At 34.3% G+C, this 24063-nt stretch overlaps 1 protein-coding gene across 5 annotated transcripts in view, besides 2 other annotated features; it reads right to left on the bottom strand.

Annotated features, from left to right (window-relative positions):
• The window catches only part of PTPRZ1 (protein tyrosine phosphatase receptor type Z1), a 188876-nt gene that overhangs the window by 125450 nt on the left and 39363 nt on the right, over positions 1 to 24063 (bottom strand). For all 5 annotated transcript variants that reach the window (NM_001369396.1, NM_002851.3, NM_001369395.1 and 2 more), the window contains one exon: positions 8366 to 8431. In NM_001369396.1, the coding sequence (NP_001356325.1) occupies positions 8366 to 8431 (66 nt within the window). The remainder of the gene's footprint in view (positions 1 to 8365; positions 8432 to 24063) is intronic.
• Positions 439 to 938: an enhancer, noted in NCBI's record as "H3K27ac hESC enhancer chr7:121575703-121576202 (GRCh37/hg19 assembly coordinates)". NCBI's record gives its function as "activates a minimal SCP1, AML or CMV promoter by ChIP-STARR-seq in naive H9 embryonic stem cells {active_cell/tissue: H9 hESC(naive)}" and the evidence as "EXISTENCE:reporter gene assay evidence [ECO:0000049][PMID:30033119]".
• Positions 939 to 1440: an enhancer, noted in NCBI's record as "H3K27ac hESC enhancer chr7:121575201-121575702 (GRCh37/hg19 assembly coordinates)". NCBI's record gives its function as "activates a minimal SCP1, AML or CMV promoter by ChIP-STARR-seq in naive H9 embryonic stem cells {active_cell/tissue: H9 hESC(naive)}" and the evidence as "EXISTENCE:reporter gene assay evidence [ECO:0000049][PMID:30033119]".

The raw sequence follows: 24063 nt of genomic DNA, 5'->3' as shown, positions 1-24063 counted from the left end.
ATCTGATGTGATTTTGCACATACTGAACCTCCACAACCTGTGTAAAAGCCGTGGCTGCAACAGTGTGCAGCAGCAGTGCTCCCGGCTATAGGCCTCAGTCTATAGTCCTCAGTCAGGCTTCGGAATAAAACTAACTTTAATTCTTTAATAGTTTGATATTTTTATTCTTTAGTTGTCACATGGTATTCACAGATAACAGGATAAACAGCCATATACACATTCCTCCTAAGGGATAAAGGAAATAAAATCCCTAAGTCAAAATGTGTCTCACTATATTTCAAAATAATTTTTGTGATTCTGTGCCTCAGTCATTAAAATATGCTTCACTTAATAAAAATTTGTCTGAATAATAGAAATGATTTTTCTATCTTTTTGCTCCTTGATAATGATTTTTTATCTTTTTGCTCCTTGAAAATTCTTGGTTTAAAGAGTCAGAATTACCATACAGAAAACAAAGGAAATTGAAACTAAATAAGCCTTCCACTAGGCCCTTACTGATGCATGAAATTGGAGGGCAACACAGGTCAACATAAAATTATTATAATGGCATTTTGCCTAAAAGTGTAACACATTTAAGTGAATTTTGTGTGACAATGCAAACTGCAGCCTAGACTTAGATTTCTTTTAATTAGCCATGTAATTTTCTCTTCCCTTTTTCTTTTATGAAATGTGTCTATTTCACGAACTAGAGCCCTACTGAGTAAAGAACACAGAGAGTAGGCTCTGCGAGGTGGCTCATACCTGTAATCCCAGCACTTGGGGAGGCTGAGGTGGGCAGATCACGAGGTCAGGAGATTGAGACCATCCTGGCTAACACGGTGAAACCCCATCTCTACTAAAAATACAAAAAATTAGCCGGGATGTGGTGGCGGGCGCCTGTAGTCCCAGCTACTCAGGAGGCTGAGGCAGGAGAATCACTTGAACCTGGGAGGCGGAGATTGCAGCAGCAAGCCGAGATTGCGCCACTGCACTCCAGCCTGGGCGACTGAGTGAGACACTCCTTCTCAAAACAAACAAACAAACAAACAAACAAACAAACAAAAAAAACCCCAAAAAACAAAAACAAAAACAAACGAACAAACGAACAAACAAAAACCACAGAGATTGAAGTAAAGGAGGCCCAGCAAGGGGAAGAAGCACAATGCGTCCTACACAAAGCCCAGACAGTTCCAGCTCAGACAGAAGAAGAAGGGGCCAAGTTTCCTCATTCTGAGCTGCTAGGACTTGCCCATCCCATTGAAGCTTCTACTAGATGCTACCAGCAATGATACTTGTGAAGCTGGACTCAGGAAAGAATCTATGCAATTTTAACTTTTTTTTTAATAGGGGAGACACATTAGCATTTAGTTTTACTAGCAGAGAAAATAAACAATGATTATCTAATTGCGATGCTATTCTGTAGCCACATCTTAATTTTTTTAAGTCCATACTACATAAGAGTTGCGACCAAATAAAATTGTTAAGCATATTTATTTATCTTTTGATCAACAAACACACATTGTATATATTTATTGTATACACATGTGGTTGTGAAATATGGATACACGGTGGAATGACTAAATTGAGCTAATTCAAATATACGTTACCTCACATCCTTATCTGTTTTGTGTGTGTGTGGTGAGAACACCTAAAATCTACTCTTAGCAATTTTCATGAATAGAGTCAATACACATAGGTTCTGAGTTTCAGATCACTTAACTGAACCCTGTTCAGCCTCCACAACGAGGCTTGCTTTAGTCACCATTATCTAGCATAGAAAAAGTTTGACCAGAATATAAATCTTAGCTAAACTTTAAAAAAAATCTACAGATGATAGGAAATATCTGTCTATAATATCCATTCAAGCAAATCAACCACTTCTAAATCCTCTTGTGAGATTATCGGATGGGCCCAGGCTTGTTCAATCTGTTTGGGATCAAGTTAAGACACTGTTCAATAATAATTACTTGGATTCATAATGTACTTGCTCAAAGAGCTTTTCTGCAACAATGTGAAGCATCTATTTGATCTGCACACAATTAAGTTGGGCATTATTAAGAAGTATTTTACAAACGGGAAAATCGAAATGCAGAGCTTTTTTTTTTTTTTTTTTTTTTTTTGAGACGGAGTCTCGCTTTGTTGCCCAGGCTAGAGTGCAGTGGCGCGATCTCGGCTCACTGCAAGCTCGAAATGCAGAGCTCTTAAGCAGCCTAGTCAGTCTGTAGGTTAATGATGATCAGAAAACCTGCACTGAGCACTGTCCATGCTCTTGTTAGGGTCTGTGATATCCTCTCACTGAGATTCAGCCAAGCAGAGGCCCTACATTTTGACAGGTGACTACACGAAGCTACGGTTCTTGTCCAACTACCTTTGCCCTTCTTGCTAAAATTAATTCACGTTAAGTTGAAAATATTTTGTGTCAACATATTTGTCAAAAATTATTTTTTCCTCCAGTATGAATAGTATACAGTGAGAAGTGAAGCTCCTGCCTCCTATGGTTTCATCCACATCTAGAGACTCACTCTCCAGGGGTAACCATGGTCAACAGGGTAGAGTATATATCATTCCAGCCTTTCATCTATGTCCATATAAATACATATTTTTTAACAGAAATGAGATAATTCTATAGTTAGAGTTCTGGAACTCTCTTTTCTACTGCTCAATTGGAAATTAGAAAGGAACAGTCTGTTTATATAAGAAGTGGTGAATCAAAGAGGAAAATATAATATGTTAAAAGGATATTCTAGATTATAGAAGTTAAAGAAAGGCCAAAAATCCGTCATTATTCTACATGGATTCAAATTTTCTTTCTGAGTAAAATTTGGCTTACTTTCTCCTGGGCCAAAAGAAATAAAACACTAAACCAAAAATAAAAGCCAAACACCAAACTATACTATACACAACCTTAAATTATGGCCTTTTTGTTTTCTATAAGTAGCATTTTCTACATACAGTTATCAAAATGGAAAGACTATTTAGACAGGATATTCTATTTACAGAAATAGAATCAATTCGATATTTAAAGACTCTCTCATTCTAGCATATCCAGCGAGGTATAACAGACTTGTGTGTGACCAGAACAGCCATACTTTCTTATTTGAATCGAATGCATTCTTTAACTAAAATTTTAAAGGTGTTAAGGTTTTAAGAATACCTGAGAACATATCAATATAAAATTTTCAATTTCAAGCTGCTTTAAAGATTGGTGAAAAAGAAATAATATAATATTTTTAAAGTCCAGAAAATAAAGATTATATTTCTGTCGTACTACTTCTAAGAATAAAGCAGTTAAAGTACTCCCATTTCTGATGATCTTATCATTGCTTGAGGTTGCAATCAAAGATCTAACAACTCGAAAAGAAGATTTTTAACATCTCCTAGGATAATCTTGGGCTATGTGTTCATGAGATTAAAAAAAATAAAATGACTTCACTTTATCTTTTTTTTTTTTTTTCACTGAACTGTCTTTGTTTAGGAATTGTCATAGAAAACTTAAGGTTACTAGGAAGAGTGACATTTATTTTCTGAAACCCTTAAATGAAATGAAGTTGTTACAGAAAGAGTCAGATTCTTAGTGCTGACATTCCCAGATTTACAATTCACTCTTTCATCACAAAGTGACAAGCAAGCCTTGCTCAACCTCCTATATTAACTTTTAAAAATGGGACTGTCAACTGTATTTACCAACCCTGTCATTTCTTAGCATAATTGTAGCATACATCCTGAATAGAAAGTTTTTCTTAACCTATGCATAAAACACAACTAAAAGAGTATTACCTCTCCTCCCTTTCTCCACCCATCTGGTAGCCAGCGGGGATTTACATTGTTACTTCATATATCATAATTGTGTAATTTTTTTCATAATTACTTTAGCTCAAGTGATTGCATTTAAATAATGTTTGATGTGTAATGTAATATTTCTAAATGGCTTATTAGTTCTTTTACAGACAAGCCTTATAATGTACTTAGTAATTTTTATTAATAGAATCCTATATGTTCAGACACTCAAGGGCAAGCCATTTCTTCCGTGATTGCCACTAATTTGATAAATTTAAATGATGAGACAATATGGGAAGGAATACAAACATACAGCTCAACAAGATAAACTGTTAAGGTGAAACTAGAACTGAATGTGGTCAAGTCCAATTTCCTCAAGCCATTCACAAAATTAGTTACATTTAAGAATGATAAGACTAACATTTCATTATTTTCATACAGTTATTTCAAGCAGTTAGCATAGTCGTTCATTTTCTAAATGGAAAAATAGCATAGAAATTAAAAAATACTACCAAACTTTAAATATTTGTATTAAAAATAAAAAGTGATAATTCACTTTATAGTGAATAATCCACGTTAAAGGTTTGGTTTTAATGTAATTTGCTTGGGTGAAATACATTTATTTGGATAAAGAATTTCATTTATTTGTTTTCTCTTTGATAGTCTAGTAATTCAGACAAAATAATTATGTCATCTCAGTTTTGAGCTAAACGAAGGGTTGTAAAATGTACTCATCTTTAGTTTCTTCCTAGGATCCTCAAATATTCTAGGAATAATTTTCCAAACCAATGGGAAGCACTAATATAAATAAAGCAATTCACTCTTTAAAAAACTTTGGTAAGCTTCCATCCTCACCCTGACTCTGGAACATCCCTTTTTGAGATCTGCCACCCCACCCCCCTACAACAAATACCACGCTTTAATGAGTCTATCCCTTTGATCACTAGACTTTCCTGAAAGAAGCTAAAGCCAATAGGCCTTAGGTTATGAGCAAGATGATTCAACTTGATTTTAAAGCAAAGAACTACACATTGTTTCTTCAAAGACCCATCTGTCAAAGCCTAGCCACTCTATAGGTGCTGTGTCTATACTCAGCCCATTAAAAGGAGCAGCTCTGTGGTTGCCTCCTAAGATAATAAGATATTGCACAATGGTATGTGCTGTTGCTATCATATCTGCTGAAACCCTGGTAAAACTGTTGTCTTCTCCTGACCTTATGAGGCACACCCAAGATGCATAGGGTCCCTGGGCTGCTGGGAAACACACACCACCATCACTCCATTAGTCAACATACATCCACCCTTGCTTGGAGCTGAGAACTATAATTTTCTTATTCCCTAGGCAGTAGGTCCTCTGTTTTCTAACTCTGGGTTTAGGGAGAGTGGAGGGTGCATTAAAGTTTGTTTTTCATTTTACTCATACATACTTGGTAAATATCTGAGTTCTCTGTTTGAAAATTGATTGGTTAGAGGAAAATAACCTCCTTCTAGTTTCACTTCTGAAACTAGAAAGTTAGCTGTTGACAAAACTAAACCAGGCTGACTTTTATTCTGTGATAACATCTCTATGTATCACGTTTTTAAAGCAGTTATATATTACTCTTAATGGAGCAAACATTATCTTAAAAACAACACAATAGTGAATTTTTAAAAGATGGCTTGTGATATTCTTAGGAATTAAAAATAAAAATATAAACATAAAAGGCCCAAACATGTAGAACTTTAATACTCATAAAGAACCTCTTGGGGAAAAGCTTATCCTGGAAGTAGCATTCCGAAACCACAACTAGCAATATTTAAATGAATCATTTAAAAAGATGTCCTGCATTAAATATTGCCCAGATGGTGACACTGGCAGATATTTTCCAGGAAAACTAAGGATTTCACCTTGTAATGTCATCTTCCATGGTTAGGGATGCACTCTAAGCATTCTTAGTCCCTCCTGACATGTTTCTCATAATTATTAGGGGCATTAAAAAACAGTCATGATTTTTATAAAATACTAGGATTTCTCTTTCGTAGGAAAAGAAGACAAAATGAGTTACAATTGTCAGATGTAAAGTTATAAAGTATATAAAATTATAAAGTTTTTTAAAAGACAATACTACATTATTTAATAAACATATACCCAATTGGTAGTACATACAAAAACATAATAGAAAAATTTGTAGGTAATCAGGGAAATACAAATTAAAATTTAGACTCCATTTTTGACTAATCAAATTGACTAGATTTTTAGAGTCAGTGTTAGTGAAAATGTGGGGAAATAGATAATTTTAACACAATTTTCTGAAATTAATTTGAACATATCTGTTAATATTATAAATAGGTAGGCCCTTTGGTCCAACAACCTTTTTGATTAAACTTCATGTTTTCTGAAAAAAGAAATTCCTCAAGTAAATAGAGTTTGCTGATGTTTATTAAATTGGGTATAATTTGTTTACATAGAAAAATAAAAAAGAAAATTCCATTTAATTCAAAATGGAGTCAAATTATGAATAATTTTTGCTTTTATGTATTTTTTAGGATTTAAAATATCAAAAGTAGTATTTTATAGATGTATGGGTCCTTATTATAAATGAGTAAATTAATAGTAGGTCTTTCTGTACAATATTACAGAGGTCTACCTCATACCCATCTGCAGAGTACTCCACAGTCGAGATGTGCCTTAATTTGTTCACTCTTCCTGCTCTGATAAACATCTTGATTGTTTTCCAGGTTCTAATTTAACTTATTGCACTGAAGAGGTATAGTGCAAATGGCTAATAAAAAATTAAAATCATGACTTCAGTGGTAATAAAAAAAAAGCAAATTAAAGTAACAAAACATGATTTTTAAAAATCTGTTGAATTCATAAAGATTTTCAATATGACAATCATCAATCTTGGGTAGTATACAGTGGGGTAGTCATTTATATGACAGATGAGTGTAACCCATCTAGGAAGCATTTAGGCAGTGTGCATCACAAATCTATTTATTTATTTATTTATTTATTTATTTATTTTTTATTTTTATTTTTTTTTTGAGATGGAGTCTTGCTCTGTCACCCAGGCTGGAGTGCAGTGGCGTGATCTCGGCTCACTGCAACCTCCGCCTCCTGGGTTCAAGCAATTCTCCTGCCTCAGCCTCCTAAGTAGCTGGGATTAGAAGCATGCGCCAACATGCCTGGCTAATTTTTTTGTATTTTTAGTAGAGATGGGTTTTCACCATGTTGGCCAGGCTGATCTCGAACTCCTGACCTTGTGATCTACCCACCTCAGCCTCCCAAAGTGCTGGGATTACAGGCTTGAGCCACCACACCTGGCTTGAAAGTTTTTTTTTTTTTTTTCCTACTCGGTAATTGCATATCAATAATTCTATAGCACAGAAGTAATAAAAATAAAAACACATCTATCTGTCAATTCATCTGTCATTGCTTATAGAAGCTTAAATATACAAAAATAAGGAAGTGGTTACATAATAAAAAAATTATTCAATGGATTAGTAAGCAGATTAACTATCATGATCAGCAGGAATATTAAAATGAGGAAATAAATATAATTTTAAGAGTAAACTGCATGCATAACTCTATAAATAAAATATATAAATTTTGGATAATAAAAACTGTCTAAAAGGACTATAGCAGTTTTTTAAGTGGCTATTCCTGAGGGAAATAAAATAATGATTTTATGTTTTTCTTTGTACTTGAACCTATTTCTAAATTTTCTACAATGAATATTTACTACTTTTAAAATAGCAATTAAAAAGAAGAAAGAAAATACATCCTTATCTACAAAATTCAGCATGCTTCTGCACTTCATCTATTAAGTAAAATTGGCCAGGCTCATGGTAAAGCCCTTGTAATCTGACTTTATCTTATCAACCCAAGTTTACTGCTAATGAGTACCCAACTCTAATGCTCAACTCCATCCCACATGGTTACTAGGCATGTCATGGTTCACCCAAATTCCACTCATATTCTTCCACTCAGGGCTAGAACTTTCTCTCCCAGAGTTTCTGCTGATGATTTTTGGTTGTAACTATTTCAAGCCAACTTCAGATGTTCATAATGTTCTAGGCAAAGTCTAGTAATGTGACAAAATCATTTTTTACTCTAACACCAATAAATTAACAACAGTAATTCAGAAGAATGCCCCTTCTGAGAGCAAGAATCCCATCAATATTTGTTAAATGAACAAAAATAATCATTAGCATGATCATAACAACTCCAGCAGCTAACATTTGTTGAGAGCTTTCTGTTTAGAAGCAGGCTCTGTGACAAGTGCTTCACACTTTATTTATCTCATTTAATGCTCAGAACAGCCCCCCATTTCACCGTTGAAAAAAACAGAGCCCCAGGTTATGTTATTTCTTGAAGGTATATAGACAGCTTGGGCCTGAGCTTCAAATACAGTTTGGGTGGATGTCAATAAGCCCTACATTACCAAATTTGTTTATGGAAAGCCCATAAGATATCGTTTTATATTTTATATATCTATTAATTAATCTAACTATCCATTTAGCTAAGTTGACATGATGTGTTGTGCTACAAAGCTTCCTTTTATATATAAAAATAGATACAAAACAATAAAAGTTTCTGCTAAATCTCATTATATAAGTAATATGTTTACCTGTATAGGACCAGCCAATCTCTTCAACAAGTTTTCTCTGTTGTCTGTAGTATCCATTAGCCCAATCTATAAAAAAGAAAAACCAAGTAATCAGTATGTAGAAAAATATATGTCCAAAAATAAAAGATGCCCAAATTATTCATACCATAAATAGTTCTTGATTACTCCTTTCCATGTCATCTTCTCAATGTGTTCTCTCAACCTCAACCACCACCATTATATTATACACTCCAATGCCCTAGTTCTGGTAGCTAGTGCAAATTTTAGAGGGTGTGTTTAAAGGATGCTGACATTCAGGCAGAAACAAAGTACATATTTAGGTAATGAAAGAGCAGCTTAGAGGGGTTCAGCCCCAAAGAGGGACTGGAGTCAGAAAGGACAGCTTGTCATGCCTCCAAATTTTTGTTACCATTCCCTAAGTCTAATGCCTGAAATCTTATTAATTAAAGATACCTTTATGTTTACAATCCAAGTTTTATCTGAAAATGCTTCTAGTGTACCCAGAGTTTATCACGCTTTCAAAATTTGCTTCCTTCCTAATGCAAAACAAAATTAGCTGCGGTCAGAAAGTAGAATTTAAATGTTCATATGTTGTTTCGGAGAAATGTTACGTCAGATAGCGTGAGTGAATTTGTCACTTGGAGGAACAGAGATGCTTGAGTTAGGTAATGCAATGGGAAACTTAGGGCCATAAAAATAGTCAATGCCCCATGACCCAGAGAGAGTCTCTAGATCTAGAACATGGGGCAAGGGATAGACAAAAGAAGATGGGTGAAAACCAGTCTCACTCTGCATAATTCAAAATTTTGCCAGGAGCCATGCCTGCTTCCAATAAATGGGAGTGTTCAGATTCATTCTCCTCCTTCCTGTATGATTGTCCCTTAATCCCTGACTGTACTAACATTAATACTTCATTTCAGCTACACTGTGGGTAAAATAAATCTTTGCAGGATAGGTTTGGAACCTGATTGCGGATGGCAGAACTGTTTCTGTAGAGAAAGCTACAAATAGCTAGTTTACAAATGTACTTGTAGAACATTATTCATTCATACATTGGCACTCTGTTTATATAGTATGAAATTACTTCTTATTCTCTTTATACATTTGTTTTCTCTATTGGATGCAAATATCTCAAGGACATTTCAGAATTTATTTTTCTTTCTTTCATGTTATATACTATCTGATTATTACAACATGGTAATAAGTTACTATTTTATAAAAACTAAAAGGCAGGCCAGCTATCAGAAATGCACACTTAAAATTCACAGGTTATCCAAAGCCAAAACGTACTTTGGAAAAATAAAGGTTTTGGTTGTGTTTAAATTTGTAAAAATCTATATATTAAGTAAATATTCTATTGGCTATATAAGACATTTCAACATAAATCTATATTTTACAATAGTTTTATTAAAATATAATCTACGTATCACACAATTCATCCATTAAAGTGTACAAGTCAATGGCTTTTAGAATATTTACGAAGTTTTGTAATCATTCCTGCAAACAATTTTAGAACATTTTCATCACTCTAAAAAGAAATTCCATACCCTTAGCTGCCACCCCACACCCACGCCCATCCCCCAGCCCTAGGAAAACACTAATATTTTTGACTATATAGATTTGACTATTCTAGACATTTCCATATAAACAGAATGATACAATACATGGCCTTTTGCGACCACCTTCTTTCACGTCACATAATGCTTTTGAGGTTTATACATGGCATAGCATGTATCAATACATCATCCTCCTTCACTGTCCAAGAATATTCTATCATATGGTGACCAGGACAGCCTGAAAGTTCCCCTTGGTTTGACTAAACTTTAGAAAGGGTTGTTCTTGACCATAGGCCCTTGATTTCCCTTTATTATAGAATTTACTTTAAGAATATTGTAATTGTAATCCTTTTTTTTTTTTTTGACAGAATCTTGCTCTGTAGCCCAGGCTGGAGTGCAATGGCATGATCTCAGCTCACTGCAACCTCCACCTCTCCGGTTCAAGCGATTCTTCTGCCTCAGCCTCCTGAGTAACTGCGATTACAGGCGCATGCCACCACGCCTGGCTAATTTTTTTGAATTTTTAGTAGAGACGGGGTTTCACTATGTTGGTCAGGCTGGTCTCGAACTCCAGACCTCGTGATCCGCCCGCCTTGGCCTCCCAAAGTGCTGGAATTACAGGCGTGAGCCACTGTGCCCGGCTTGTAATTCTTTCTCTACTCCTGTGAGGCGTAAATCTTTTTAGTAGCCACTTGGTAACTTTATAATCCAGAAATGTACCTCTCAAGGACCTGGGAACTACCTCTTTGAAAAGTAATCAACAAGAGAGACAGCACCTTTATCTTCCAGTTTAGGTGGGAGGGTAGGAGCCTAACTTCAGTGGGGCACCTTGCTCCAAGTTGTAAAAGCTACTTCTTGTCATAAAGATATGAATTTATTTAGATTTATTTAGATAAACTTAAATTTATTTAGATAAACTCATATCTTTATGACAAGAGGTAGTTTAGATAAAGCCAATCAGCAAATACAGATAGCTTATGGCCCTGAATGTCCTGCAGTTCTTTTCCACAAGCTCACTCCAGCACTTAAAAACCTGACCCAGTTTGCTTCATGTGTGTTGAGTTCAGACTCGGATCCAGCTTCTCTCCCCTACTGCAACAGCCTTGAGTAAAGTATTTCCTTCCTGTTTAACTTTGGTGCAATTTTTGTTTTGACAATTGAATATACCATATTTTATTCATCCATTCATCAAGTAATAGACACTTGTGTTGTTTCTAATTTTTGGCTATTATGAACAATGCTGTTATGAATATTCATACATTTTTGTTTCACTTTCTACTTACAAATGAAATCTTAGGCTCACAATTTATTTTTCAAATATGGTTGTTCCATAAAATGCTAGTTATTTAAGACTAAACTGATTTAAGTTAAATTCCGGGGTTAAGAGTTTCTTTATTACAAATGAATATATACAACTGGATATTAGAAAGGGCCATAAAAGGTTACTGACTGAGACTTAACAGTCTAGAAAAAAGTAATTCTTATTTTAGAGATAAGAAGATTTATGCCAAAAAACATAAGTGGTTTGTACAGGCAGCAAGTGATAAAAAATGGAAACCATAATGCGGGGTCCCTGCCTTCCACTTCATTTATCCTCCCTCAATATCAACGATTCCTAAGAATCCTGAGCTACTGGTTACTCTCCTAAGGTGCTCCGCCTCAGCAGGAGCCTCTATAGCATGCTTGCCTTCAAGAGACACAAAATAGTGCAAAACAATAGAGCGGGCTACAGATTCATTAGCAGGAATTACTTGGACAAATAAATTATAAAGAATTGACTATATACGTGATTTAACCTGGCAATCAATTGAAATTTTCTCTGAAACTGCACTGGCCATAGGAAGAAGATTCCTTGACATTTTATATACATTTTAAATATGAATATTTTAGAAATGTAAGACATTTTTGTTATGCATTGTGGTGACTTCAGGAGATCAGATACCATGCAAAACCTGTATTTAACAAGCATTTTATTGAAATAAATAAAAAAGTAAGCTCTTGTTTTAATGATTCCTTCTAAAGGATAACAGCAAAACATCAGCAGAATTTTAGCTTTCCTTGTAGAGTTTTATCCCTACACAATGAACATTTATCCTTGGTTTTTAATTACTTACATTAAGAAAGCTTTTTCAATACAAGATTCCCAGGTGTTGGTAGCTCTCTTCAGTTCCTTTATGTATTGTTCCCTTAATTGTTACTTCAAACAATCCGTTACACATTCATATGCTAATTACATAGTGCTTGGGCGTGAGAGAGTACCCCACTTTAAAAATTCTACTTAGAGGTCTGATAGATGAGATGTGATAGCTCCAATGAACAAGAAAAAAAGAAGCTGGGTTCACTTTTTTGTTGCATTATATACTTTGAAAACCAGGAAATCCTATATAAAAAAGAATCTATCAAAGTGCTTACGCATTTTAGGATCCATTAAAATAATGAAATATAGAATTTTTTTTCTGTTTCTGTGGATTTCAGTTTCTTTGTAGTTTTTATATTTTGTTTCTTTCCATTTAAAATCTTTGACAAGGCGGTTATGGTGTGACTATTTTGTAGTGATAAAACTAAGAAATTTCAGGAAGTGATTGTTCACATGATATACAAGAAAATACATATTAGCAAATCTTTTTTAAGGTTACCTTAAAATTTGTCCCAAAAATATTCTTCATGAAGTAGCTTTCTAACCTCCTAACTAAATTGAGAGGAATTTGGTTTATATTATTTCAGATAACCTAAACATTCTCCTTTCAACCCATTCCACCTTGAACTTACCTCAAGCACTTACAAATATGCAAACAGGTATGTATACAAGCATATATAAAAATACATATATTTATTTAGTATATGTATTATAAAGACATATTTCTTCATTTCTGTTTACACTTATGTAAAGGAAATCAAAGTTTTGTTTTCCTTGATAACTCCCTATCAAGGAAACCAATTTTTCTCAAAATTTTTACCACCCCCCCACCAAGTTAAAATCAGGGTGCTGATTTTCTACTAAAAAAAATCATTATAAATATTTTGAATTCTAAAAATGCTTCTGATTGTGGTCTTACCCTAAAGAAAGTCTCTGTTTCATATTGATTAACAATTTATCAACTGCATTCTACTAAAAATTCTAGCAGCAGTGCTCTGACAAAATACACACACAAACACATACACACGTTATTGCCATAAGTGGCCAAAATATTACTGTAATAGGGAGAAATACAGTGCTCCTAAGAAAAATAACTTTCAGATAGAAAATAACCACAGATCTAAGTTTGAATTCTAGGATTCCATATCTCTTAAAGTGAATTTGTTCAAGGTAGATGATACTTCTTGCATATTTCACGTCCTTTAAAGAAGTTACTAAAGAATATCCGAGGACATAAAAAGGAGATCAGTTGATAGCAGAAGTCTAGAAATGTGGCAAAGAAATGATAGAATTAGAGATGAACCATTAAAGACCTTGAAGAAGACTGACAAAGAAGAGACCTGAGAAAAGGGACTGAATGTTCCAGGTAGAAGAAAAGGCATGAGGATCAAGAGGTGAGAAATCACAGAACTCAAGATTTGACAGTCCAGGGAGCGCTCATGTAGGATCTTCATAGATCACTAGGAACTTATTTTTGGTGACAGATCACTATCCATCTTCACACTTTTAACTTTCATCCTACTCTCTCTTCTTACCTAGATTTCTTTTAAAAGTGAGGAGGTAGTCTACTGAGTTGACTGAATGGCATTGAATGTATTTCATATGTTGCATATATTTTGAGGAAAAATTTCAAAGAAGAGTATGAAATAATCCAAAAAATATTTTAACTGAAATGAAAGGGTTGGATGTGTGCTTGTGAAGAAATATAGGTAGTTTGTGAAGGCTTGAAGAAGGACTTAGAACCCTCTGGAGATAGTATACTGTCATCAGAGTGGTTATCATCCACCAAAGAATTTGAAGCAAGACATGCTTAAGACTGAAGTGGCATTGATAAACAACGGTTGATAGTGACAGCAGTCACAATCATCTGTCACTGGAAACAAAATAAGTCTTTTCTCTGAGAATAAAATAAAAAATAGGAATTCCTTTAAGAAAAGAATCAACTTTTTTTTTTGAGGCGGAGTCCCGCTCTGTCACCCAGGCTGGAATGCAGTGGCATGATCTTGGCTTACTGCAACCTCTGCACCTCACCCCACGCCTACGCCCTGGGTTCAAGCAATCCTTCTGCCTCAGCCTCCCGAGTAGCTGGGATTACAGGCATGCACTACCATGCCCAGCTAATTTTTTTATTTTTAGTAGAGACAGGGTTTCACCATGTTGGCCAGGCTGGTCTCGAATATCTGACCTCAAGTGATCTGCCCGCCTTGGCATCCCAAAATGTTGGGATTACAGGCATGAGCCACCGTGCCCAGCCAGAATCAACTTTTGATTAAAGAACACCTATGAACACATCACCTGGTTATTAAATACTTTGTATCTTCAGATGTTCTATTTTTGTTGTCTTTCTCCATTTGATAAGAAAGCTGAGTTTATGACCCAAATGATCTAACCCAAAACCTTGATTTGCTAAGACAAACTTTCCAAGTAAAATTAAATTTGCCCACGAGTACAGAGTCTACAAAATTATACATGGCAAATTTTCTCTGTGGATCTTCCTGTCATTCAATGTTAAGGATTGGCTTGCTGTGAAGTTAAATTATCATACAGCCTATCTTTACCCATCTGGAATTTAAACTTTTATTCAGTATACATGCAACGACATTTATGAAACCTAATTTAGCTAATTATGGTAATTCAGATAGTATGGTTTGTTTAGGCTATAATACTAGCTCAAACATTGCACTTACTGTTAACCACTTCAGGTGTAACCAAAAGACCTAAAAAATACCACTTTTTATAGTATATATATCAAGCCATTTGTTTTCCAATTTCAACTACCTTCCAGTGTTAGGAAGCAGAGTTTTGGTTTCCTCCTCTCTTCAAAGGCTTCAAAATAAAAGTACTTTTGAATGTCTCAAAACTTAAATAGAAACTTTATGCAAAATAAGAGGATATTTTAATTCATATCATTAAAAAGAGGTAATTCTGGAAAAATATGAGTTATAAGAGTCCAGGTAACCTCTTTATTTAAGAATAAGTTTAAAGAGATAAAAAGTAGATGCCTGAGGCACTATATAATCAAAATGGTAAAATCATTCAAGGAGATGGAAAGTTTGAACATAAGGATAATGGAAAAGAACAAAGGGAGTCATTTCTTACATATGCTTATTTTGGTAGTGAGACATCCAATTAAATGCATATGTCTCACAGGACCAAGGAGAGTCTCAAAGGTGAGCAATTAGATTTTATGTTTCTTAGACACTGGACATGCTTTCAGAGAGAGAATTTCTATGTTGGTAATTTGTTTACTATTCAAACTTTTCAATGAAAGCTCAAAATATTCACAGGCTAATCTTGATAAGTAGTTAGTATATTTTCCTATACTTAGATGCATTTAAGCTAATGTAATTTATCTATCTTTCTAAAGTTGAGTTATTTTTTGTTAAAACATATTAATAATTTTGATCTTTATGACATAATAATGCATGCCTATTTCAAATAAATTAGAAAAAATACAGGTAGGCAAAAATACTTTAAAAATCACTTGTAATCCTATGCCCTACAAATAACTGCTATTAACAGTTTTGCCCATGCATGTATGTTTCTCTAGATGTTATATATTTATATATAATAAATTTGGACTTTACTTAAATTCAATGACACTGTTTGGTAACCTATTTCTTTACATGATAATGAATCACTGACATATTCTCAATTTAATAAATATTATTTTACAGCATCATAACAGTTCACTTAAAGCATTCTCTACTTTTTGGGTGCTAAAATTAAAAGTTGACAATGTCAGAAGATTTATTTCTTGAGCTTAAACGATATGCATGAGGATAGCTTCTATTAAACTAGCTTTACTTGAGCTTCAGGTATAAAATAAAATCTGTGGATGAAGTACCACATTTTTTTCCTGTCAACCTTCTATAATTTCAACAAAACACTAAGCACAAACTCATTGTTATTGTACTACAATCATTATAGTTACCTAGTTTTATGTCTATAACAGTGAATTTGTTCCATCATAAGAGAAAAACCCAATGTTGACTGCTCAGTGATAATAGGAACAGAGACAAAAATATCAACGTATATACAAATAACAATTAAAGGAACGAGCTAAAAATAATATTAGAAGTGAGAAGAAAACCCAATCTGTGTAAGAAAAAGTATATAAAAGGGAGTAGCAAACACAATTCATCAAATGACAAAAATAATGTGTTATTATATTTATGTATTATGTTATTATATGCTACTAACTTATCTTACCATAATAGTATTATTTAGCAATGATAAGATTGCTGTTTTGAAATCTTATGCCCACGTACTTTCACTGAAAGCTGACGCAGAGCAAGAACATCTGCTGTGCCCCTTTCTGATTGGGGTCACTCAGGAAGTTCTGGACAACTGGCACACTCAAATAACCAATTAGAGGATACAATGGGATTCCATTCACATTTACCGTGAAAAGCACAAAACACCAAGCAAGTTCATAAAGGAACAAAGATATGAACTATTTTTAATATAAAAGAAAATGTGAATAAATGAAGAGATCTACTACATTCTTCAATGGAAACAGTGAATTTGGGGAAGTTGTGATTTTTTTTTCCATATTAATGAATAGGTCAAATCTCACTGGGATGTTTCTAACTGGAGAATTTTTTTGAAAATTTATATAGAATAATAAATGGAGAGTAAAAATTGACTAGAACATTTAGAAGAAGTGTGAATTAATAAAGGCTTGGTTAATCAATTACTAAAAAAATGAATTGATAGACAGATCAATAGAAAAAAGCAAACAGCACTAACATAGAACCTACTATAGATGCAAATTTAATATATGTTAAAGGAAACATCACAATTAGATAAGGAAAAGTATGAAGGTTCAAAGGTTGGGAACACTATTTGTGAAAAAAATTAAATTGTACTTGACACATACATAAAAATAAATTACAAGTGGAATAAAGAATGTTTTTAAAAAGATGCATAAAAACTATTTACAAAGTGAACATTAAATTAATCATAAGATGGGGGATGCATTTCTATGTATGAAGAAAAGGATATTATGAAGAAACATTTATAGCTTTGATTATATAGCATTTAAAACTTGTATAGAGAAATGTATAATGAAATACAAATTGTAAAATTAAGCTATTGATAAATGTTAAAATACATTAAACAAATATTACAATATATTCCACACATACAAAATTATCACAAATCAATAAGGGCAAAATATGAGCACAGAAGTTTTAAGAATGCAAATACAATTAATAAATTTATAAAGAACTGTGAGACTTTACTGGTGTCAAAGAAACAGAAACTAAAATAATGTGAAGATAGCAGTTTTCCAGCTAACCAGTTGTCAAAGGTTTATTATTACTTTTTAAATATTCAATGATGATCCAGAAATCTTGATATGTTTCTTTATATACAGGTAGAAGAATGAACTACTATAAACTTTCTGGGAAGTGAGTTGACAAGGGTTATCAAGATCCTTAAAACTCTTCATATCTTGGACACAATAATTCTATTCCAAAGAACATATTTTAAAAGATTAACAGAGATTAACATGATGTACCAAGATGTTTACAACATTGAAAAAATGTTGAATAACTATAAAATATGTTAATATACAAAAAGTGGGGAAGTTTAAATAAATTATATAAGGTTCCTAATATGAAATGACGTGAAGCCATTATAAGTATATTTTCAAATATATTTATTGATTTTTTTTGAAATATACATGATATAAAATATCAACAGTTATGATACTATTTTATAAATAGTACATATATACAGAAATGTAAATTTATGTGGTGCCATTGGGAGTGATTTTTATTTTTTCATATGTTTTCAGGTTTTCCAAATATTTGATGAGTTTTTGTTAAATATTCAAAAAATTTAAAGTGTCTATGCACTTTAAAGAATGTCTGAAAGAATGTATCTGATTCTACAACTAGATAAATTAAAGATAGATTGTAAATATGTTTTAAGACTGTAAAGAAACATTTGAAATCCATTTTAAAATCTTCTTCCAAGAGACTGCATGATAGATGCAGCATTAACAGCATTTTAAAGTTAAGCTTATGAAATAATAGCCAAGTTGACACATAGTAGGCAAGTTAAGTACTTCAGCTACCAAGATAATGAAAAACAAGAACCATAGCAAAACAGGAAACGCAACAAACTCACAGATCATCTTATTGGCCATGATGATCAGATGCACTGGGTCTGCATTTTGTGGGTAAACCTTGAAATAGTCTTATTTTAATTTTTATCTTATTTCTAAAACAGCACATTTTGCTTAGATAAAATTAAACCCAAATGTCACTGTCTATCCATTAAGCAGGACAATCTGGCAGCTTTATGTGTTAACAACCTGTTCTAAAATAGGTGCGGGTCATGTTAAGTTGCTGTCAGGATGCTGACTGATTCACTGTGCACTTATGTCTGGACAAGGCAGAGTTTCTTGACTCCTTTCCCAGTATATTGACTGAAAATTCATTTTTGGCATGAATTCCTTTTTTTTTTTTTTTTAGCCGGTCTAGAAATAAGAAACCTTTATTCCCAAGAAGCACATTTACTATAATAAATTGATAATTTTTCAATGGATCTTCAATGATTTAAGACATTTTCAATTTGCCAGTATCTTTTATAAGCCACTTGCTATTGCTCATTAAAACTACTTAAGCTTGGGCAATATTACAAAAAGAAACCAGGATGAGCAAGGGAGATCTGACTAATTTTAACTATAAACACATATTTTTTTATGCCTCTTTTCACTTTATTTTTAAGATCGGAATCTTACATTCTGCCTTTAAGTGATGACCTTGGACAAGTCACATCTCTTTGCTTGTATTTCCACAATTTAAAAATAGGGATATATATTTTTACTGTAAGTAAACTCCTGTTTACTTACAATAATACCGTAACAAGAGATAGGGCATGTGTAAAACCATTTTGAACTCTTTGTAAAAAATGTGCTTATAACGACAATTATCATTTCCTGAATTTTATTTTTCAGGCATTTGGGTTTTTTCTTTCAATAGTGAAGCAATTTCGTTTTAAATGCAACAGCAATGTGACATTTATCTAATGTGCCCTGCATGTTTTTTTGGTCATAAATTATTCACTTGTTTTCTGATGCTATCTGATTCTTAGTCTGAAGTGCTCTTTAGTTTTAAGGGTAAGTATGGACACTCACTGCACATTGAAAATACAAATCCTGATATTCAAGGGTGAACCATTTCCCCACTAGCAATTTAAAAAAATTAAACACTTTGATGACATCTCTAATTAGTAGGCTTTTCATTGTTAACGAGCACCTAGCTATATTCATCACTGATTTTGCTCATAACTGTACAAAAAAGATTACATCTACTGCTTTATCGGTACATAAAAATCTTTCATTGCCAGTAGACTATGAAGTGATAATTACTAGTTATCATTTTATTTCCTTGTATTGTACAGTTTATTTGAAGTGAGCGGAAACTGTGCAAATCCTATTGTCTCAATTAGTACAGCTTAAGTACGGTCTAGCTGGCTAGCAGAATCATTTTAGTGGCTTCACATTCCTCTGCTGGATACTTTTAGTCCCCATCTCATGCCTCTACTCTTTGCCTAACATCTCACTTGTACTTTCTTTTCTTTCTCAATTTAATAGTTGCATTCTCCATGGAACTTGGGGCCTCCACAATGCCCATTCTGTGAATCCCCAAAGTGAGGCCTTAAGGAGAGGGGATTCACTTCAACCACCAATCACAACATGCTTATCTTCAAGTCTTGTAATTGGTGACCTATCTTGACCAATGACAGCACTGGGTCTTACTGGGCCACTGCTGCAACAGCATTTCCCAAATTTTGCCTGAAATTTGAATGTACTCTGCAGTGGCAGATGCTCAAAGATGCTCATTAGGTAGCCTAGATTACACAGGTTTATTGCACTCAGAGGAACAACATTTAAAAAGCATTCCTGTTCAGTACATAATTAATAGTCTTGGAGAATACATCCCATTAGTTACTTTTTATACACAATTACAAATTCTTGGCCAGGGGTTAGATATTATTTATTTTGGAATAGTTAACTCATTTGGAACAAACATGTTTTCTCTCCAGGTTTACTGTTCTGTTTGTGAGGATGTCAAGAGACTGAACAAGTTAATGTAGTGTTTTTGGCCAGGACTCTGCTGGCATTTTGCCCTGGACTTACTAGGCCACTGGGACACCTAGAGATAATTAACATACTCCTGCACTGTCTAATGTGATAATGGTAACGGTTAAATAAAAATGAACTTTTTTTTTTTTTTTTTTGAGATGGAGTCCCACTCTGTCGCCAGTCAGGAGTGCAGTGGCACGATCTCGGCTCACTGCAACCTCCGGCTCCCAGGTTCAAGTGATTCTCCTGCCTCGGATTTCCAAGTAGCTGGGATTATAGGCGCACACCATGACGCCCAGTTAATTTTTGTATTTTTAGTAGAGACGGGGTTTTACCATGTTGGCCAGGATGGTCTCAATCTCTTGACTTCATGATCTGCCCGCCTCGGCCTCCCAAAGTGCTGGGATTACAGGCATGAGCCACTGCGCCTGGCCAAAAAAGAGCATCTTAAAACAGACCACAGGTAGCATTATTGCACATCAAAGGAGCTAGCTCTGTGGGCAAGTCAATGTTTCTCTCTAAGTCTAGGAAAAAGAAAAAAATGTTTTTATGAAAGGATTTACACCTTGGAATTTACATATCATAGAACACAAAGACAAAGATATTGAAATGTAACCTGTTTTCCTTAATAGATTTTTTAGCATCTAAGTGATCATATCTTTCTGAAGTTTATACTTCTGCCATTAATTTCATTAATGGCAAATATTATTTTGACAGAAGATGTTTATCTGATAAGCTATTATAGATCTAGCCAAGGATACACTGATTTAACCTTGGAAATAAGATCACATAATATGCATTTTGTGTTCAAGCGGATCACAAACCAGAGTATAATGCCTAAAGTTCTTTAATATGTCATTCAAGTTCATTGGTAAATTAAGAAAATAGTGACTGCTGAAATACAATTTATTTTAAACTACCTTGTTTTTTAACTTCAGAAATGGCTTGCAGAAACTGTCATCTCCTGCCATTTTAAATGATATGCACCTCTAACTAACTTAAATGTCTTGCTTCACATACTATTTAAATGAAATGAATGTTTCTTGTGAGGATAAAATTCCCAGAAGCCTCTCCGGTCTCAGAGCAAGGGGCATTAGTAGGCAAAGAAGTTCTGCATTTCCCAAGAGGACCTCCACCAGACCCCTTGAGGCTATGCACTCACTTCCTACCTGAACCTCCCAAATAATACAGTAGCTGGAGAATGTGCTGTTCCCTCCTGATCAGGGAGTGTCTGGTGATTTGGGATGGTGATCCATTCCAAGGAATCATGATAATACCATCAGCCTGACACAGCTTTCTCATCTCACACAAAGCTCCTGTCATTCAGAAGTATGTGTGCAGTATACGGCGGTGCTCTAGTGGGTCTTGATTAGCAGGGAGAAAGACTACCCCCATCTCCCTGACACATCCAAAAAGAATTGATGCAGTTTTCTAAGCCCTTCATGTAATTTTGCCCTCGTTTCCAGTCCCCCAAATTACTTACGGGAAACTTAGCAGTAATTGTAGACGTAACAAGAAAACCTTGGAAACTTTTCACATGTAATGTCAGCATGGTGCCTGGCACATGAGTGAATAAATGAAAGTTACACATCTCACATCATGTTCAGTTCTGTAGTTAGGAGAGGTATAGGTAGAGCAAGTATCCAGTAAAAACCCTCAAGAAGAAAAGGCATTGAGGATATTATTTCACGGTCCTCAACAATCCCATTATGTTGTTACTTTAACTACATTTTTTACAATTTTGGTCTTTAAAATACCATGGACCACCAAGGATATTTCAACAAAATAAGATTAATAGATGATTTATGATTTTAATGAACTTGATTCTTTAAATTCAAGGCACGTCCCAAGGATTTTTCACAAAAACAATTGATCCTTTTCATGGCTTAATGCCACTGTAACTTCCTCCACACAGCTAGCGGATTGCCATGGACACACACTCGGACGCCTTTCATTCTCTCCAGGTCTCCAGAAGTTTACGTTTGAGGACAAAAAGAAAGAGCAGAGGAACCTTTTCTATACATAAAGCTTACTTGGGACCTTAAACAATATGCACCTTTGTAATACAAATTATTACCAGAAATTTATAGTATGCTAAAACGTTACTTCTACACCACTTAAAAAAAGAAGTAATGTTTTAAAAATCCAGAAAATATCAAGTAATCATAAACCAGTGATTTAAGACAGTGGTAAACACCTATGATTTCACAGAGGTGTAGCAACCCACAGCTAAAAACAGAAATGTCTGGTTTCTGTTTCTTTCTTTTACATATTTATTTAGAGACAGGGTTTCACCATGTTGCCCAGGCTGCTCTTGAACTCCTGGGTTCAAGGGATCTGCTCGCCTCGGCCTCCAAAAGTGCTGGGATCAGAGGCATGAGCCACCACACCAGGCCAGGTTTCTGTTTCTTTTAAATAGGTGCTATACACAGAGATAAAAAGGATAAGGTATGCAATTAAAAAATGAATACAGACTGTGTAGCTGGATAATTCTAGGCAGAGTTCCAGTTTTTTTCCCGGGAATTAGGTTAGACGGTTTTTGTCTGAACTTTATTAATGATTTTCTGAATTCTTTACTTAATATATATGTGTGAATAAGTTGAGAATTCTTTTGGTTGAACATTAAATAATTTGAAATTTCACTCAATCTTATTCTATTTTACTGACAATACTCAATGGAAAAGAAATGAGAGAAAACTTTCCCCCATACCTGCTAAGGTAAGATAATTTTTTAAATCTTTTCATAAAAAACCCCAAGATAAACTTCCATATTGTGGACCGTCTCTGTGTCAATTTGTAATATTTATAAAACTAGCCAGGTTAAATGCAGTGTCATTTTATCAACTACCTATTTGCTGAATAAACCAATTAATTCAATGACTATAAACACACAAGAAGGGCCAAATTAATAAAACATCCAGATATTTTATTTATTCCATGCACCTTGCTGGTGCTACAGATGAAAACTTTCTGAGGTCACTTCCCCTAATGCAAAGCTTCTCAAACTATTTCATATTATGGCTCAGTTAGAAAGTGATAATGTTCTTTGTGCCTTGGAATAACACATAAGAGCTGAGCGGATGAATATTTGACACACGTGTAATTCACGAGTGGCACCAGAGCACACTGAGTGGGAAGCCTTGCCTCCCTCAAGCACCTGGTCTCAGGGCCTTTGCTCAGCCATTTCTCCAACTGGGTATCTCTACTTTCTCCTTTCTCTGCCTCCTCACCCAATCCCAAGCCTTCTCATGCATCATATGGTATCTTAATACCATTTCTTTAACTTTTACGGTCTTTCTCACAATTATAATTGAGTAATAATTTTTTAATATTTGTTTACTGTGTCATGAAGGCATGAACTGCTTAAGAATTCAAAATGTGCCTATCTTGCTCCCTGCTGCATATTCAACACCTAACCTAGGCAAACGTGCTCTGTAAATATTCATTACATGAATAAATGACAAATTTAGGATTTATAATCTTAGAGGAATGTTCCCTGACACCCATAATTCATTTACCCGTCTCTGTTCCCCAACCTTTTTCAGATCAGTGACTGCTAAATCCTTCCTTTTATGATCAGGAGCAGACTGAACATTCTGTTCTCACCAAGAAAACAGAAAACGGGAAATTTTGCAAGTTCCCTCCTCTTCACCTTTTAACTAAGTTCTATTTTCATCATCGTCTTTCTCATTGTATCTCATAGAGACAGATGCCACCACTCTTTTCCCATCCTCCTACCTTCTCCAGGATTTTCTGGACTTCAATCTCTCCTTCACTGAACTGTTCTTTTAAGCCCCTGTAACATACTTAAGCACTGCTACCCTAAAAATTCCCCTTCCCTTAGTCTCACCCGCTTCTTTACCAAATGCACTAAGCATCTATATTTCCATGCATTTTTCAAATG

The sequence above is a fragment of the Homo sapiens genome, chromosome 7 (genome assembly GCF_000001405.40).
Source record: "Homo sapiens chromosome 7, GRCh38.p14 Primary Assembly".
Taxonomy (NCBI): Eukaryota; Metazoa; Chordata; class Mammalia; order Primates; family Hominidae; genus Homo; species Homo sapiens.
The sequence above is the reverse complement of the archived record's forward strand: the minus strand, read 5'-3'. Positions and strand labels throughout refer to the sequence as shown.